At 44.3% G+C, this 15323-nt stretch overlaps 1 protein-coding gene and 1 long non-coding RNA gene across 9 annotated transcripts in view, besides 2 other annotated features; both read left to right on the top strand.

The window, feature by feature from the left end:
- The window catches only part of ATP10A (ATPase phospholipid transporting 10A (putative)), a 192852-nt gene that overhangs the window by 22102 nt on the left and 155427 nt on the right, over window positions 1–15323 (top strand). The window lies entirely within an intron of this gene.
- Window positions 4666–5165: an enhancer, noted in NCBI's record as "H3K4me1 hESC enhancer chr15:26082969-26083468 (GRCh37/hg19 assembly coordinates)". NCBI's record gives its function as "activates a minimal SCP1, AML or CMV promoter by ChIP-STARR-seq in primed H9 embryonic stem cells {active_cell/tissue: H9 hESC(primed)}" and the evidence as "EXISTENCE:reporter gene assay evidence [ECO:0000049][PMID:30033119]".
- Window positions 5166–5667: an enhancer, noted in NCBI's record as "H3K4me1 hESC enhancer chr15:26082467-26082968 (GRCh37/hg19 assembly coordinates)". NCBI's record gives its function as "activates a minimal SCP1, AML or CMV promoter by ChIP-STARR-seq in primed H9 embryonic stem cells {active_cell/tissue: H9 hESC(primed)}" and the evidence as "EXISTENCE:reporter gene assay evidence [ECO:0000049][PMID:30033119]".
- LOC107984770 (uncharacterized) lies at window positions 10014–13900 on the top strand. Its single transcript, XR_001751446.1, has 2 exons — window positions 10014–11640; window positions 11945–13900. It is a non-coding gene; the product is annotated as an uncharacterized LOC107984770 (long non-coding RNA).

The raw sequence follows: 15323 nt of genomic DNA, 5'->3' as shown, positions 1-15323 counted from the left end.
AGCACTTTGGGAGGCTGAGATAGGAGGATTGCTTGAGGCCAGAAGTTTGAGACCAGCTTGGGCAACATAGTGAGATTCCGTTTCTATAAAATGTATACATACATAAATAGCCAGTTGTGGTGATGTGCATCTGTAGTCCCAGCGACTTGGGAGGCTGAGGTGGGAGGACCGCTTGAGCCCAGGAGTTCAAGGTTGCAGTGAGCTATGATTGTGCCACTGAACTGTGAGTGACAGAGTGAAATTCTATCTCAAAAAAAAAAAGTCTGCTTGATTATGGAGTCAAAGACGTTTACCTATCTATACAATCAGAGATAATGTTTATGACTGAGACCTAAAAGACTGTTGACATATTCATTCTATTCATCCTAGTATGAAAATCATTTGGCTCCTATAGAAATATCCCCCAAAATACAAGGAAATGAAACCCAGTGTTTTATTTTCTAGGCAGTGCACTGAAACACGGTAGAAAACTTTAAAAACAGGGGCTTCTGGTTTTAGAACAAGATGGCGTAGATTCATTTTTCCCTGCTCCTCCCCGTGATTACAAGTAAATAATTTAACAAGAAACAGTAAAAGGACGCTGGAAACTAAAAGCAGGCAGACTGACTGGGGCCTCAGGACATGAGGGGGTAGCAACACCATGAGACCCTGGACTTCTGTTTTATCTCCTGTATCCTTCCAGTGTGGGCACAGGAAGGCCTGTAACCAGAACCGCCAACAGGTATAGAGAAAACAAAATAAAGCAAAACCAAAAGGCTCTGTCAGGCCAAAGGGGAAGCTCAGTGAGACCTAGTGGGAGCCCAAGGCCCGCTCCACACCCAAGCCACCAGTGGACAGCCTGATGCTGCTGTGTGGACCACTCCCTATCCGGTGGCTCCAGGAGACCCAGACCCAGGGGCTTTTGCCCATCCACCCACACAACAGCAACAGGTGGCCCAGGGAACTGCCTTCCACTCCTTTATACAGAGCATTTACAAAAAACCTACAACCAATTTCACAGTTGAGGATGAAAGACTGATTCTACAAAACCCAAAACAAAACCTCTTACAACTGAAAAATGAGCTCATTACAATGACAGGATACAAGATCCGTGGCTATGAATTGACTGCATTTCTGTATCCCCACAATGGACTAGTGAAAACTGAAATCACAAACATAATACCATTTACAGTTGCACCAAGAAAATAAAATACTTACATATAAGTTTCACAATGCTCATACAGGATGCAGGATGAACATTACAAAATGCTGATGAAAAATATCAAGGAACATCTGAATAAATGGAGAGACTTCCCATGTTCATGGATCGGAAAATGAACATAATAGTGAGTCAGTTTTCTCTATAATTATCTATAGATTTAACGTAACTCCTATCAAAACCTCAGCAATGTTTTTTTTTTTTGTAGACATACACAAGCTTATTCTACGTGGAAAAACACAGGTCCAAAAATGTCCACAAGATTTCTCAAAAAGAATAATAAAGTGGAAGCACTCACTTCTCCCAATATTAATGCTTACTGTGGAGCTGCAAAGTGTGGTATCAGCAAAGGGATGGCACATATGTAATGAACCAGAGTGAAGAACCCAGAAATAAGTCCCAACAGATATGCCCAATTAGTTTTTGACAATCAGTTCAGTGGAGGAAGTATATAGTTTTCCAATAAACGGTGTGGGAGCAATTAGACATCCATTAGAAAAAAAAAAAAACCCTAAACCTCACATACCTCATATAAAAATTAACTTGTTAAAGATTATAGATTTAAATGTAAAACGATAAAACTTCTAAAAGAAAACATAAAACATTTTTGGGATCTAAGACTAGACAAAGAATTCATAGACTTGACACCAAAAGCATTATCCTTTGCTGTGGGAAAGATCCAATGAAAAAGAGCAGAGAAATTCCAGACGAGAGAGAATATTTGCAAATCACATACCCAACAAAGCACTAATATCTAGAATACGTAAAGAACTCTCAAAATTGAACATTAACAAAACAATGAATCCTGTTTAAAAATGGGCAAGACATGAGACATTCACTGAAGAAGGTATGCAGATGGCAAGTAAGCACATGAAAAGATGTTCAACATCTTTACAAAACAGGGAAATGCAAATTAAAGCCACTCAGAGATACCACTGCGCATCTATCAGAATGGCACAAATAAAAAGAGTGATACCACCAAACGCTGCTGAGGGTGTGAGAAATGGGATCTCTCCTACGTTGCTGTGGGAATGTAAAACATACCCACTCTGGAAAATAGTCCCTTCACAAAACTAAAAATAGAATTGTCATATAATCCACCAGTTGCACTCCTGGGCATTTACCCCAGATAAATGAGAACTTACATTCACAGAGAAGCTTTGCAGAAATGTTCATCGCAGCATTTTTTTTTAAATAATAACCCAACACTGGAAATAACCTAGATGTTCCTCAAAAGGTAAGTGGTTAAAGAAACTGTGATCCCTCCATACGGTGGAATACTAGTCAGTAGTAAAAAGGAACAGACTGTTGATAAACACAGCAACTTGCATGGGCCTCAGGGAGATTTTGGTGAATGGAAAAAGCCTGGGAGCTAAATGATGAGAATTATGAACAGAAAGAAGGGAACAACAGACACTGGAGTCTACCTGAGGGTGGAGGGTGAGAGGAGAAAGAGAAGCAGAAAAGATAACTGTTGGGTACTAGGCTTAATACCTGGGTGATGAAATAATCTGTACACAAACCCCTATAACGTGAGTTTACCAATGTAACAAACCTTCACATGTGCATAGGTTTGTTACCTGTGTAACAAACCCCCAAACCTAAAATAAAAGTTAGGAAAACCTAATTTCAAAAGGATATATGCTGCGTGATCCCATTTATAGAACATTTGTGAAATAACATTCTTAGGGGGATGAGGGACAAGTTAGTGTTTGCCAGGGGTTAGGGATGCAGGAGGGGGTGAACGTGGCCCCAGAGAGGTAGCATGAGGGGTCTTGTCCCATTGGCGCCATCTTGATTGTGTGTGGGTACTATTTCGGTTGTGGTTGAGAAACTGCACAGATGCACATGCGCACACACACGCACACGAATGCACTTAAAGCTAGAGAAATCTGAATAAGCTTTGTCGGCTGTACCAATGCCAATTTCCCGGTTTTGATTTTGTCCTCTGGTTTTGGGGCATGGTGGCCTTAGGGGAGGCTGGGTGAAGGGTGCATGGGACCTCCCTGTACATTTCTTTGCAACTTCCTATGAATCTGTAATTATTCCGAAATAAAAAGCTTAAAATATGACCATTGAGTTATTAATGGTAAGGAGTCAGCATAAGAAGAAGACATGGAAATTTGGTGTGCCCAGTACACATGTTGCCCAGGTGGGGCTCCTGCCAACGGAGTGCCCAGTGGTGGGAATGTGAGGTTTTCAGGACCCAGCATGCTCTGCAGAGCGGGAGAGAGGACGAGCCTGCCGCCTTGCTAAGGAGGGCTAGTGTAGATTTACCCTCTTTCCAGCAGAGATGAAGATCTTGGTCAACGGCATCTCTCACGGGTACGGAGATAAGCATTAAGATTTATGAGTAACTTGAGGGAGAGTGGGAGAATGTTGCTTTTTTTCCCCCAGACCTGGCCTCTAAGGAGACTTGGCTGTCTAGTTATAAAGGGTACATAAAATGCTCTGGAAGATGAGATTACATTAACTCCTGGAAATACCAAAAGTACTTTATTTTAATGTACTTGTTCTTGTAGTTATGAGCAATTTGGATAATTACAGTTGGCAGGGATGCGCCGACGCACATACGCTGGAGTTACATATTATCCCAGCCTTGATCCTGGGAATATCACAGCCCTTCACCTGTGACACTGGAGTTTAAACTGGAGCTAAGGTGTAGCCAGTGTCTTCTAAACAGAATGGGTATTGGATACAAGCCCGCTGTTAAGTCATTGCTGTCACCTAGGTAAACACGCCTTTGTAACACAGTTATGAGAAATGGACACCAAAGAGAAATAAATACTATACTGCTATGGGATATTCCTGAATGACCCAGCTTGTGGTTAGACGCATTGCTCCACCAGACAAGTTTACAGTGAACTCGGGGCAGGTGTCTTGCAGTTATATGGGAAGACAAGGAAGCTCTCAATAGGAAATGCTTCTGCAAACACACTGCTCGCTCACCATAAAGAAAGGCTGCTTCTAACATTGCAGTAGTACCCTGGAGTAAAGCCCGTCCTTTCCCCATTTTCTCAGGGGAAATAAGTACTAAGGAAGTGCCACATGCGATATTATCATCAAGCGCCACAACTCTCAAAGGGCTGCTTCTCTTAAAAAGCCCCGAGGGACTCTGTTGCATAGTGAGTTTAAAGATGCAGAAAATCAAAACTTCATCTGCACTTGAGTAATAACACTCCGTTGCTGGATTACTAAAATATGATTCTAGGATGGAGATTAAAGGGCGACACCTCAGCTCCCAGCCAAGCCCTGAGGTTGTAATTCTATGGTGGGAGAGGCCCCTTAGGCTTTCATATTAACAGTGTGGTTAGGGAGGTTGCCAAGGGTGGCTTTGCTGGGGATGTGAAGGTGTCACTGTCACCTTGCTGGGCATAGACAAGGCACTTGGAATGGACAGCTCCAGGGCTTTCACTCCTATCTCCCTAAAGGAATCTAAGGGTTGGGCAGACACCTAGCGTGCCAGGTGCAGGCAAGTCACCTGGGTGAGATGGGCAGTATATTCCAAAGTGTTAGGCCTCTTAGGCTCTTATTTCTGAGTAATAAGCACTTTTTTGAGTGTGTTGGCTTCACATTTGATTGAAACATCAAAGCATCACAGTTTCTGTTATGTTCAAATTGGGTCAAACAAGTGCCATCCAGACAGGGTATGGACTTTCATACCTTTCATCATCATTGCTCTACACGTTGGATGCTGGTTCATGTTTAATGAAATGTATTAAAGTTGAAATCCCAGGATGCCCTAGTTTTACTAAAACAGTGAATCTTGTACATTAATCTGTGCAAACTAGCTCCATGGCCCGGAGCCCTGGCAGCTCAGCTGTCCCTCTTCCATCCTCCACACTGCCAAGGGGCAGTGAGAGGCTCCAGCATACCTTCCTTCCAAGAGCACTGTCACCAGTTCCCCCTCCCCACCCGTCTTCCCCACTGCCTGGCTCCCCTTCCACCTGAGCCTGCCACGTGCTCCTGAGCAGTTTCCCCTTCCGTTAGCCCAGAGCCTTCCCCATGCCCTCGAGCTGTTTCCCAGGACCCTGCCAGCCAGCGCAAAGCAGGAAGGTGCCTTTCGGGCAGTTTGCTGTTTGTGGACGTGCTTGCCTTCTGGTCCATTACCCAGTGGCGCTCGTTCATGTTAGATGGGAAATCCTCTGAGGGCTGAAAGACACTTTCGGCTTTGATCTTCAGGTCAGCAGGACCAGTCAGCATCAACATCTACTACATGGAAAGCCCTAGGTTTATGCGTCCTGCAGCCTTGAAACTTCCTGCCCTGTGACTACCGTCTCCGCATTTCTCCCACTCCCTGCGCCGGGAGCCTCCTTTCTACTCTGTCCGTGTGTTTGAGATTGTTTGTTAGCGTGAGATCACACAGCATCTCTGTGTCTGGCTTATTTCACTTCAGGTCCCTCAGGTTCATCCACATCGTTGCAAATGGCAGGATTTCCTTCTTTTAAAAGGCTGCATAGTATTGAATTGTGTGTATATACAATTTTCTTTATCCATTCATTCCTCAGTGGACACTTAGGTTGCTTCTGTATCCTGGTTCTTTTGAATAATGCTGTTGTGAACCCTGTTGAGGGGCAGGTAGGAAAAATAAGCCTCAAGGTCTAATGCACAGCATGAGGACTGAAGCTAATATGGTAGTTACTCTTGTATTATATACCGGAAATTGGCTAAAAGAGTAGATTTTGGGTGTTTTCACCGAAAAAAAATGAGGTAACTGTGTGAAATGATGGATATGTGAATTTGCTTGACTGTGGTGATCATTTCTCTATGTATTTCACTACGTTATATGTATATCAAAATATAATGTTTTGTACCTTATATGTATATAATAATTTTTTTTAAGAAAAGAGAGCCCCATGGCAGGTGGTGTGTGGACCTGAAGGTAAATACTGGGTCTTGCCTTCGAGAGACTTGCAGGCCAGGGAGAGGGACAGCACATGCATAGACGGTCTTGCTGGATCGGAGACTTTTGCAAGTGACTTCAGCCCTCATCTCCTACTGTGAACCGACAGTAACGATAGTGCCCACTTCCTAGGGTTGCTATGGGCACTGGTGCCCATGAGCCAATAGCTGCAAAGGATTCAGGATGGCTCCTGGCACATGGTTGGCACTGTGTGTGTGTTTGCTAGAGGTAGGGACAAAGCTGCCTGAGGGAACAGGGAGGCTGCTCAGCTCTGGCCGCGCTGCCTGGAAGACACCCTTCAGAAGGTGCTGGGCCTGTCCAGCCTTGATGTTCACTTGGGTAGACAGGAGTTTGATGAAATCGACGTGCGTGATTGCCTGGCTTTGGTGTTCAGCCTGCACCGTGAGCCTTAAATGCTTCTCATTTTGCAGCCAGTGTTGCCACTCTGTTGTTGGGTGTGTTTCTCTTGCCAAGCTGGACCTGTAGGATGGTTGGTTCAGACAACCCGCGGAAAGGAAGTTGGAAAGAGAAGAGAATTAGCAAAGAGGAAAGGTTAGAAAGAGAGAGTTGAAGTTATATAGCTGGGAAAAGAGGAGCAGGAATAGCATAGCAACTAAGAGGAAGAAAAAGTAGAATACTCCCAGGCTGGGGGCCCACACCTGTAATCCCAGTACTTTGGGAGGCCGAGGCAAGATGATCACTCGAGGTGAGGAGTTCAAGATCAGCCTGGCCAACATAGTGAGATCTTGTCTCTACTAAAAATTGAAAAATTAGGCCAGGCGCTTTGGCTCATGCCTGTAATCCCAGCACTTTGGGAGCCCGAGGTGGGCGGATCACGAGGTCAGGAGATCGAGACCATCCTGGCTAACACGGTGAAACCCCATCTCTACTAAAAATACACAAAATTAGCCGGCCGTGGTGGCAGGCACCTGTGGTCCCAGCTACTCGGGAGGCTGAGGCGGGAGAATGGCGTGAGCCCCGGAGGCAGAGCTGGCAGTGAGCCGAGATTGCACCACTGCACTCTAGCCTTGGCGACAGAGTGAGACTCCGTCTCAAAAATAAATAGATAAATAAATAAAATAAAAAATTAGCTGGGCGTGGTGGCACGAGCTTGTAATTCCAGCTACTTGGGAGGCTGAGGTGGGAGGACCGCTTGAGCCCGGGAGTTTGGGGTTCAGTGAGCAATGATAGTACCACTGCACTCCAGCCTGGGTGACAGAATATGACCCAGTCTCTTAAAGAAAATATAAAAGTGGAATACTGATTGGGAGGGAGGAGGCTGTGCCCAAGGATGAAGTTTCCTATGGCCGGCCTTGTTGTGTGCAAAGGGCCAGGCTTGGGACCCTGTTCAGGACAATTGGCAAAAACTGTGCTGACCCCATAGTCAGGAAAGCAGCTATGGTCCCTGCCCTCACTGCGACCAGGGAGGGAGCTGCTTCCGTGGGCTGCTGCTCCTGCGGGGGCTTTATTGAGACCCACTTCACGTACCATACAATTCACCCAGTTAAAGTATACAATTCAGTAGCTTTTTAATATATTTGAGTATCTGGGAGAGTTTTGCATCCATTGCCACAATCAACTTTAGAACATTTTAAATTAACTGATTAATTTTTAAGAGATAAGGTCTCACTCTATTGCTCAGGCTGGAGTGCAGGGGCATGATCATCACTTATTGGAACCTGGAACCCCTGGGTTCAAGTGATCCTCTCACCTCAGCCTCCCAGGTATAGCTGGAAGCACAAGCTCATGCCATCATGCCCAGCTAATTTTTGTTTTTAAAATTTTGGTAGAGACTGGGTCTCACTGTGTTGCCCAGGCTGGTCTCAAACTTCTGCCCTCAAGTGATCATCCTGCCTCGGCCTCCCAAAGTGCTGGGATTACAGGTGTGAGCAACTGCACCTGGCCTAGCACATTTTTAGCAGAAAAATGAGCCCCATATTCCTTAGCTGTCACCTCCTAATCCTCCACAGATTTACCTAGTCTGCGCATTTCACAAAAATGGATCATGTGTAATACATGGTCCTTTGTAACTGGTTTCGTTCACATAGCATGTTTGCAGGCTCATTCATATTGTAGCCTGTATCAGTACTTGATTTTTGTTCATTGTTAAATGGTATCCCATTGTATGGATGTACCACATCTTGTTTATCCATTTGTCATTGATGGACATTTGGGCTGTTTCTACTTTTGGCTACTATGAATAATGCTGCTGTGAACATTTGTGTACAAGTTAGTGTATAGACGTGTGTTTTCATTTCTCTTGTGTATGTCCCTAGGAGGAGACTTGCTGGAGCACACGATACCCCTGAGGTTTAACTGGAGAGCTGTTTGCATTCCCACCAGCAGTTCTCCGAGGGTTCCACTTTCTCCACATCCTCCAATGCTTACCTGTCTGTTTCAGACTCTAGCCATCTATCGGGTGTGAAGTCACATCTTATTGTGGTTTGGATTTGCATTTTCCAGATGGCTACTGATGTTAAGTACATGATGTTTGATGTGTTTATTGGCCACTTATGTATCATCTTTGGGGAATTGTCTAGTCAAATCTTTCACCCATTTTTAAATTCAGCCTTTTATTATTTAGTTGCAGTTTTTAGTAGATACAAGTTCCAGTCAGATAATAGGACTTGCAAAAACTTTTCCCCATTCTGCAGGTTGTCTCTTTGCTTCCTTGATTATGCCCTTTGAAGCACAGACTTTTTAAATTATTATTTTTAATTGACAAAAAATTGTGTATATTTATGGTGTAAAACATGATGTTTTGAAATATATATACATTGTGGAGTAATGAATAGTTAATAACACACATAGTTAGTAGTTAATAGCATATAATAGCATAATAATAAATAATGACAATGTATTGTATACTTGCTGAGAGAGTAGTTTGTTTTTTTTTTGTTTGTTCGTTTTTTTTGAGACACAGTCTCCCTCTGTTGCCCAGGCTGGAGTGCAGTGGCGCCATCTGGGCTCACTGCAAGCTCCGCCTCCCGGGTTCACTCCTTTCTCCTGCCTCAGCCTCCCAAGTAGCTGGGACCACAGGTGCCCACCACCACGCCCGGCTTATTTTTTGTATTTTTAGTAGAGATGGGGTTTCACCGTATTAGCCAGGATGGTCTCAATCTCGTGATCTGTCCGCCTCAGCCTCCCAAAGTGTTGGGATTACAGGCGTGAGCCACGGCACCCGGCTGAGAGTAGATTTTAAGTGTTCTTAGCACAAAAAAATTAAGTCCATGAAGTATGCAGGAGTAACATAGGAACTGAGAGGAAGAAAAAATGGAATACTGCCCGGCGCATGTTAATTAGCTTGATTTAGCCATTCCACTGTGATCCATTTTGTAATAATTTTTCACTCCAGAGTGAAGAGAAGTGTGGTAGGGGTACTCTACTGTCAAACTGCTCTTTAAATAAATAAAAGTGAGGGTTATCACAAGAAATTCATGGTGAGCAGGCCTCAGACCAGTCATCTTCGGCTCTGCGGGGCTGGACTTCTCTGGCTGTTTAGAGACCTCAGTGTTGCTTTTCAGTGAGGTCTTTTGGGGAGAATGGCCAGCAGGCATTCATGCTTTTTATTCTTTCAATTAAAGATAAAAATAAAAAAATATGGGCCCGGCGCAGTGGCTCACACCTGTAATCCCAGCACTTTGGGAGGTCAAGGTGGGTGGATTGCCTGAGGCCAGCAGTTCGAAACCAGCCCAGCCAACATGGTGAAAACCCGTCTTTACTAAAAATGCAAAAATCACCCACTTGTGGTAATGTCCGCCTCTAATCCCAGCTACTTGGGAGGCTGAGGCACAAGAATCACTTGAAGCCAGGAGGCGGAGGTTGCAGTGAGCCGAGATCACACCACTGCACTCCAACCTGGGCAACAGAGTGAGACTCTGTCTCAAAAAAAAAAAAAAAAAAAGAATAAAATAGATTAAAAAAATGTAATTGACACATAACAATTATACACATTTGTGGAGCACAGAGTGATATTGCCTATGTATACGGTTTGTAATGATCAAATTGTGATAATCAGCATGTCTATCACCTCAAATACTTATTTCTTTTTATTGGGAGCATTCAAAATCCTCTCTTCTAGCTATTGGAAAATACACACTAAATTACTGTTAACTATAGTCCCCCTGCAGTGCTGCGGAATGCCACAACTTATCCCTCCTCTCCAGCTGTAGTTTAGTATCCAGTAACATACTCTTTTCATTTCCTTTCTTTGGGCAGAAGGCTAGATGTTGCCTGTTTTTGTTTTATTTTTCTGCTTCACATATAGCGCACGAAAGCAGAGTGTATTCAAAAAAGGAAATGTGTTTGAAAAAAAAAAAAGGAAACGAATTTACATAGGACCTGTAAGCATAAGACAAAAAATGGAATCTGGTCATTGACAACCTTAAATATAAAGATGCCAATTTTAGACTGCGACAATGGTCCAGAACATGACAGATCTTTGTGATGACTTTGCCTTGCCCGGCACACTCACAGGCAGCTGCCTTTGCTGAAATGAGGCCTTGTGTCTGCTAGGAGAGTAGCACTCAGATTTTCCACCCATTGCTGAATGAGTTTCCTGAGGCTTCTATAACAGATTACCATACACCAGGTGGCTTAAACCAACAGAAGTGTATTCTCTTACAGTTCTGAGGCTTCAAGGCTGAGACCAGCGTGTGGGCAGGGCCGTGCTCCTGTGGAAAGCTCTAGAGAAAAATCCTTCTTTGCCTCTTCCTGCGTCTGTGGTGGCCGCCAGTCCTTACGTCCCCTGTCTTGCAGCCACGTTGATCTGATTTCTGTCTCTGTCTTCACATGGCTGTCTTCTCTGTCATGAGTCTCTGTGTCTCTGTTTTCTCTGCTTATAAGGATACCAGTCATTGGGTTAGGGCCCGCCATACTCCAGTATAACCTTATCTTAACTAACTATATCTGCAAGGATCGTATTTCCAAATAAAGTGACATTCAGAGGTTCCAGATGGACATGAATTTTGGGGGACACTATTCATTCAACACAGTGTAATCGCCAAAGTCACGTACTGGCACTGTCCTACTGGCACTGGAGGGTTTTTGTTTGCTTGTTTATTTTAAGCATTCCATTTTGCTCATGAATAATGAGTTATTAACAGCAGGAGGTTCAGAAGGTTGTGTGGCTCTTTGGAAATATATGACAATGCTATCTTCTAGATCCCCTCACCTGGGTCAGGCAGTGAGGTGTTGCCCATAGGAGCCTCTATAGGTGCAGGTTCCCCTTGGTACCATGCTTTGCACATCGTGTGAGCTCAGAGTTTGTGGACAGATAGAAACTCAGGAAACACAAAATATCGATCCATATGGTATTTAGCTGAATCTGTGAAGACTGTCATTGATTGCCAAGAATTATGAGGATATTGCTAAGTCAGTGGCAGTCATTTACACTCCACAAAAAGCCATTTTCACATCTCGACACACTGAACATGTATTTTTAGAGAATGACTAAATGCAGTTCCATCCCCTATTAGGAATTCCCTGCTCGCAGCATTCTCCAGGAAAATGTTGTCAAGGAGATTAACTGTCCACATGGGTGAGTCCAGCATTTTTCTGAGGTAGCACAAACACACAGAGCCCATTACAGTTCCAGGACTTGCCCAACAATGTGTAATTGCAGCGGGGAGAGAATCTCATACGGGGTGGAGCCCCCGAGGCCCCCGAGCCACACACAGCTTTGGAATGAGGTGGGAGAGGGTATGGGCAGCGGTCCTAGACATCCAGACACTGTGGAGGGTGCTGGGTATGCACGGGGTCCAGCCTGTCTGCTGAGGAGCGGGCAGGGCATGGTGGGGAAGGTGGGGTGAGTGGCTGGGACTTTTGTTTGCATTTCATTGCAGACTCATCATTTGCCCCAAATATAATTTTGGCTTTGAATCATGTAGCGAAGCAGCCAGATGAAGGGAGGCCCGGCACAGCCAAAGCTCTGAAGCCTGGGAAGTATTGCCGTCCCACTCTGAGAACATAGTTCAGTGAATCATTTTCCTGGCTTCCTTTCAAAGTCTGAGGAAATGAAGTCCTTAGGTTTGAAACAGTGATTCCCAGGAGCAGGTAAGTGCTGAAAGCCTCATCAGGTGGCACGTTTACTAAAGCCACTTGTTTCTTTTGAAACAGGTTTAATATAGACCATCTTAAAATGTCATGACCTCATGGGACAATGCAGGGGGACAGAAATAAGTTGTCACCTCTGAGTTTGGGACTGAAGATCCCAGAGCCACAGTGAGGGAAGACGGAAGGGGGCCGTGGCGAACTGGGCTGTTAAGAGATCATGTGGCCAGTGCAGGGACACAGGACCCCCCCGGAGAGAAAGGGTCTGGGTCTCCTCCTGAGAGCCTGTTCAGGAATCTCCAAATTCTTGAACTTGTGGCGTGGTTTTCTTTGGAAAGGAAGGAAGGTGTAAAGAAGCCCAAGTCAGTTTCTCACTTGAGAAATGCTGTTGCAAAGGGGCAGTGTGGTGGGAATTTTAACCTTTGCCACTCCCTCTAGCAGAACTGTGTGGTTTTGGACAGGCTGGCCGCTAGTTTCAGGGCACAATAGAGGGACACTTCCACCCCTTTCAGTGACTTCCCAAGGTGGCTCTGCAGAGCACCCCTTAGGAGAGTGGAGCCTGGCCTCTGAGGCCATTCTGAATGAGGGGAAGGTGGGGATGACCCAGGAAGGCCAGCGCTGCATGGCTGCACCCCCTCTCCTGCATTTACCCCCAGGTGCCTGTGCTGGCAGCGGCACATCACCAGGCCTCCTCCTCTCCGTGGCTCCATTCACAGCTCCTGCTGGCTGAGGCCTTGGACCTGGCTGCCCACCGCACTTCTCCCCGCCTGAACCACCTCCATCTCCCTCCAGATGGTGACCGAGGCCTCCTAGCTTACCCTAACCACCTCCTGCCTCCACCCCGGCCCCTAGCACACACCTGAGCATCCTCCACCCAATGGCCAAAGTGATTCCTTACAATAGAAAGCAGACTGGGGCCCTCCTCTTCTTGGAAGCCTCACTGTCTTCCCTTCCCTGGGAGTGAGATCCAAAGTCTTTGCTTGACCCACAGGGTCCTGTACCTGGTGGCCCACTGTGTCCCTCCCCCGTACCCTCACTCTCCGCCTCCCATCCCACTACGCCTTGGCCTCTTGGGACTCCAGAGCGAGCCGTGCCTTAGAGCCCTGGGCTGCTGCCCCTTCCCCCAGCTCTCTCCTGGCTCCTGCCTAGTTCAGGCACCTTTCCCAGTGTCACACTCCCAGGGAGATCCTCCCTAAATGCCTCATCTCTGTCCCTACTCTGTTTATCTTACTACAGTCTGACCCACGTATGGATTTGGGCATTTAGATGTTTCTCTACCCACCCTCCTCCGCATTAGAATGTTAACTCTTGGGAGCAAGAGCTTTGTTTTCTGTGTGGCGGCATGCTTGGTTCCTGCTCAAGAAAAAAAAATTTTTTTGAAAGAACAAATAACATCAACACTCAATACTCATTTATTCACATATTTAAGACATTTTTCCTGGGTATCCCATTTTAATTCATCCTTAAAATGGAACTGATCTTGCCTCCTTAGCCTAAGTTCAGGGGAAATGGATGCAAAGCTCTGAAAGTCACTGATCTGGGTGCTGTGAGGTGACATCATCACAGGTGACATCACCAGCCAGCCATGGAGAGGTTTGAACGAACCTTCCCCCTTTCTCCCAGACAGATGTGACCAGGCTTTATGAAAATTTGTCTGTAAAGAGGCACTTTTCACCACATTATTTTAATACACTTGTGTTATTACCAGAAAAATGGGAAAGAAGGAAATAAAATTTGCATCGACTTTCCGCCTCCTTACTCCACGTTGGTTCTTGCAAACAGACTGGAGTTGTGTGTCTGTTACCCCCTCCTTTCTCGCACATGTTCCAGCGTTATGCATGATGTGGAGCAAAGCTTTATTAATAAGGTTGCCAGGAATCACCAGCCATAGAAATGCCTACCTTTTTGAGTGAACAATTCCATTTCTATAAATCTATCCTGGGAAGATAATCTTTGATGCAGTCAAAGATCACAGTGCCCGAGGATAGTCAGTTTTTACAACAGCACATGTAAAACACAGCATGAGTGCTGCCAAATCCATATAATAATTAGATATCATGGTTCACTTACTGGAATACTGTGTATTTATTAAATTATATTTTAAGATACTTTCTGGTTACATGGAAATGCTTATGACTGGATAAAGCAATACAAATGATAACAAATACGGGATGTTAAATTTCCCTCTAAGCCCTGCTTTAGCTGCATCCCGTATGTTTTGGTGTGTTGGATTTTTGTTTGCGTTCATCTCAAAGTATTTCCTAATTTCCGTGTGATTTCCCCTGTGATCCATTGGTTATTTAAGAGTGGATTGTTTAATGTCCACGTATGTATGTCTTTCTCAAATTTGCTTCAGTTATTGATTTCATTTCTAAGTTCATTCCAAGAGCCTACTTAGTATGGTATCGATCCTTTAAACTTACTGAGTTTTGTTCTATGGCTTAGCTTATGGTCTGTACTACAGGACACGCCACGTGCACTTAAGAAGAAAGTTTATTCTACTGTTGCTGGGCAGAGTATTCTACAGTTGTCTGTCAGGTCTAGTTCATTTATAATATTTTTCAAGTCTTCTATTTCCTTGTTAATTTCTGCTAGTTCTATTTATTGTTGAAAGTGGGGCACTGGATTCTCTGTTATTGTTAAATTGTCTATTTCATCCTTCAGTTCTGTCATTTTCTGCTTCATTTGTTTTGGGAACTTACAGTTAGCTTCATTTTTGCTTATAATTGTTATGGCCTTCTGATGGATTGACCTTTTTTTCATCATAAAATGTCTTTCTTGATTTGTACTATCATTTTTTTGTTTTAAAGTCTATTTTTTGTTCTAATACTAACATAGCCAATTCAGCTCTTTTGGTTACTTTTTGCACAGTGTAACTTTTTTCATCCTTTTACTTTCAACCTATTTGTATTTTTTAATCTAAAGTGTGTCTCTTACAGATCACATATAGATGGATTGTGCTTTTTAAAAAATCTATTCTGTCAGTTCTGCCTCTTAATTGGAGAACTTGACCATTTACATTTAATGTACTTACTGAGTTGGTAGGATTTAAGTCTGCCATATTGCTATTTGCAGTCTTTATGTCTTAGGTATTTTTATTTGTCTGTTCCTCCATTACTGCCGCCTTTTTTGTCAAATAGATATTTGCTTGTGTGCCATTTTTATCTCCTT

The sequence above is a fragment of the Homo sapiens genome, chromosome 15 (assembly GCF_000001405.40).
Source record: "Homo sapiens chromosome 15, GRCh38.p14 Primary Assembly".
Classification (NCBI taxonomy): Eukaryota; Metazoa; Chordata; class Mammalia; order Primates; family Hominidae; genus Homo; species Homo sapiens.
This window is presented reverse-complemented; position numbering and strand designations above follow the sequence as displayed.